The sequence below is a fragment of the Homo sapiens genome, chromosome X (genome assembly GCF_000001405.40).
Source record: "Homo sapiens chromosome X, GRCh38.p14 Primary Assembly".
Classification (NCBI taxonomy): Eukaryota; Metazoa; Chordata; class Mammalia; order Primates; family Hominidae; genus Homo; species Homo sapiens.
Window position 1 is genome coordinate 154805610 of NC_000023.11, and position 3422 is coordinate 154809031.

Consider the following 3422-nt stretch of genomic DNA (forward strand, 5'->3'; position numbering starts at 1 on the left):
GAGAAGCGGCCCTTAAAGGGCCTGAGGAAGTCGTAGCTGTAGGTGGCCGCGTGAGATGAATGCCAGAAAGATAAGAAAGGGGAGGGGGCCCCCAGCTTCTGGGTGGTTGAGCACACGGCCCACGCCCCGTTGGGCCTGAGCCGCCCGGGTGCCCTGGCCAAATTCGTGGGGATTGCAGGGAGGCAACAAGGGAAATCAGAATCGGCCGGCTTAGTGGAGTTCAAAAGATGTAGGTGAACTCTAGACTCTTCCCATAAATTGATGCGGGCGCAGCATTACCCTTTGAGATCTGGACATTGCGAAAATGCCTTTAAGGCTGCTGTGCTGCTGCACCCTGTCATTTAATTGTTGTGTGCTGTTTGATGATGAAACATCTTATTGCCTTCAAAACCAAACTGTTTTTACTTAGGGCAGATCTCCTGCTGTAAATGCCACAAAATTTTTCCGGCTCAGCGAAAGCAAAGGCAGCAAACATTCCTTAGTAACCCTAGAGGAGGATTCCTTAGCATCCTAACGCATTGGAGACATTCAAACACCAGTCACAGCGATGGAAGGCTTTCTGAACAAAACAAACATTTAATGGGCTTGTACGGCTCTTGGTCCCCTACCCCAAGCTAGTAGCCTCACAGTATTAGAAGCAGTTCATCACTACATGTAATCTTATTCTGACCTTCCTCAAAGCTTCCTGGGAAGGAGGAGCTCATAGCCAAGAGGAGAAAATCCAAGGGCAACAGTTTAGAGCTGCATTGCCCAGTTTTCTCTACCAAGAGGCCGAACTCATGTGAATGACGGTTCCCTTCCTCAAGATCACTCTAAACGAACGGGGGGGGAGGGGGGGGTGGGGTGGGGGGGGAGAGATTGAAATTAAGACTGTGATATTGAGGCATGGATAGATTAATTGAGCAATGGCATAGAATAGAGAACCCCGAAACGCAACCATGCAAGTATAGAAATGTGGTATATGATAGAAGTGGCATGTTAGGTAAGTAAACAGGGACATTTTATTAACTGACGCTGGAAAATGGTTATTTATATTGGAAAAGATGAAATTGGAATCCTCATTCATGTGATATGGAAAATAATAATAATCTATTCCAGATGGATTAAGGAATTAAATGTCAAAAACATACCCTTAAAGCTCTTGACAGGAAACATAGGCAAGGAACTTTTAGACTTTGGGATACAGATTTCTAAACAATGTAGACAAACCATTGACCATAGAATGGAATAGTGGTAACTTTGACTTTAAGAATTTTAATTTATGAAGACACCATAAAGAGCAAAAAACACAGCTGTGCATTGGGAGAAAATATTTTCAATACAGATAAGTGGCAAGGAATTCCAATTGCGAATATATAAAGGACTACAAATTATTAAGAAAAACACAATCCAGTAAAGAAGTGGGCAAAACACATGAATAGGCATTTCACCAACAGAGAGACGCATATGGCCAATAAACATACATATAAAGAGATGTTCGACATCATTAGTGATCAGGAAAATGCAAAGCAAAACTACAATGAAATACCACTGTTCACCCATTCAGTTGTCAAAAATTTAAAAGTCTAACAGTACCAAGTGTTGGGGAGGATGTGAATCCATATGATTTATTGAATATTGCTGGTGGGAGTCTAAATTGGTACCAGTTGTAAGGAAAACGGGTTTCCATTATCTCTTACAGTTGAACATACATCTACCCTCTGAGCCAGCAATTCTGCTCCTAGAGGGAACAACTATTCCCAGTTTGGTCTGTAACCTTCCAGGTCTCCCTCTGTGCATCTGCAAAATATTCAGGACTAGAGTTGCCTTGTTTGTCCAGGTACGAAAACCATAGTATGGATGGCCTTGCTCCAATTTATACTCCTTCCATATTTTCTCAGCCTTATCTACTTCCCAGGCGATCAGGCACTTGATCAATGGAAATCCCTGACTGCCACTGACGTTTTCACATCTCCTGACACTTCTGACTCCTTCACTTTTCTAAAGTGAGGGCTAGGTTCTGAAATGACCTCTACTGCACTCACTGCAGCAGGAGCTTCTGCACTCAAGCTCATCCTGACCAGATCCATGGAGGCTCTGATGACTCCTACCACTTTTGGATTCAGGATTGAACTGTGGTGTGTGGGATCTGGCTTTCCTACTGACTACCAGGACCAAGGTAACACAACTCAGAGGTGTGAGGAAACTAACAAACACCTAATAGGGTGAACTTTGACCACTGACAGAAATGAGACAAACACCCGTAGGCAGATCAATTCCTTTCCTCAACCATTTCAAGATGGTGTGATTCTATACAACTCTTCTGGAAGCATTCAGGAAGACTGTGAGATAAGCTGTGTTTTCTTGAGTAACAGTGGCGAACTCAGTAGCACACCAAAGTATATTTTGTTTCCATCCTTCCCTACCTCACTTCATTTATTCCCTCACTCTTACACCCATGGGATTGCATCCTTCACTAAAGATTTACCACATATGTTTTGCTCCAGGCTTTGCTTTCTACCAAACATAGGCTAAGAAAACAGGTGTCAGAAATGGGGTGGCCTCAGAAAACAGACCCTCAGGATAGGACTTTTGCTATACAAATACATGGACATTAAATAATCTGCTCTTGAATGGTATTTGGGTCAACAATGAAATCAAGATGGAAATCAAAAATTTCTTTGAGCTGAATGATAATAGTGACACAACTTATCAAAACTTCTGGGATACAGCAAAAGTGGTGCTAAGAGGAAGATTCATAGCATTAAATGCCCATATCAAAAAGTCTAAAACAGCACAAATAGACAATCTAAGGTCACATTACCCGACTTCAAACTATACTACAAGGCCGTAGTTACCAAAACAGCGTGGTACTGGTATAAAAATAGGCATGTAGACCAATGGAACAAAATACAGAACACAGAAATAAAGCCAAATACAAACAACTGATCTTTGACATAACAAACAAAAACATAAAATGGGGAAAGGACACCCTGTTCAACGAATGGTGCTGGGAAAATTGGCACGCCACATGTAGATAATTGAAACTGGATCCTCATCCCTCGCCTTGTACAAAAATCAACTCCAGATGGATCTAAGATTTAAATCTAACACCTGAAACCATAAAAATTCTAGGAGATAACACTGGCAAAGCTATTCTAGACATTGGCTTAGGCAAAGAGTTCGTGACCAAGAACCCAAAAGCAAATGCAACAAAAACAAAAATAAATAGGTGGGACCTGATTAAACTGAAAAGCCTCTGCACAGCAAAAGAAATAATCAGCAGAGTAAACAGACAACCCACAGAATGAGAGAAAATATTTGCAAACCATGCATCTGATGACAAAGGACTAATATCCAGAATCTACAAGGAACTCAAACAAATCAGCAAGAAAAAAATAACCCCATCAAAAAGTGGGCAAAGGAATGAATAGACAATTCTC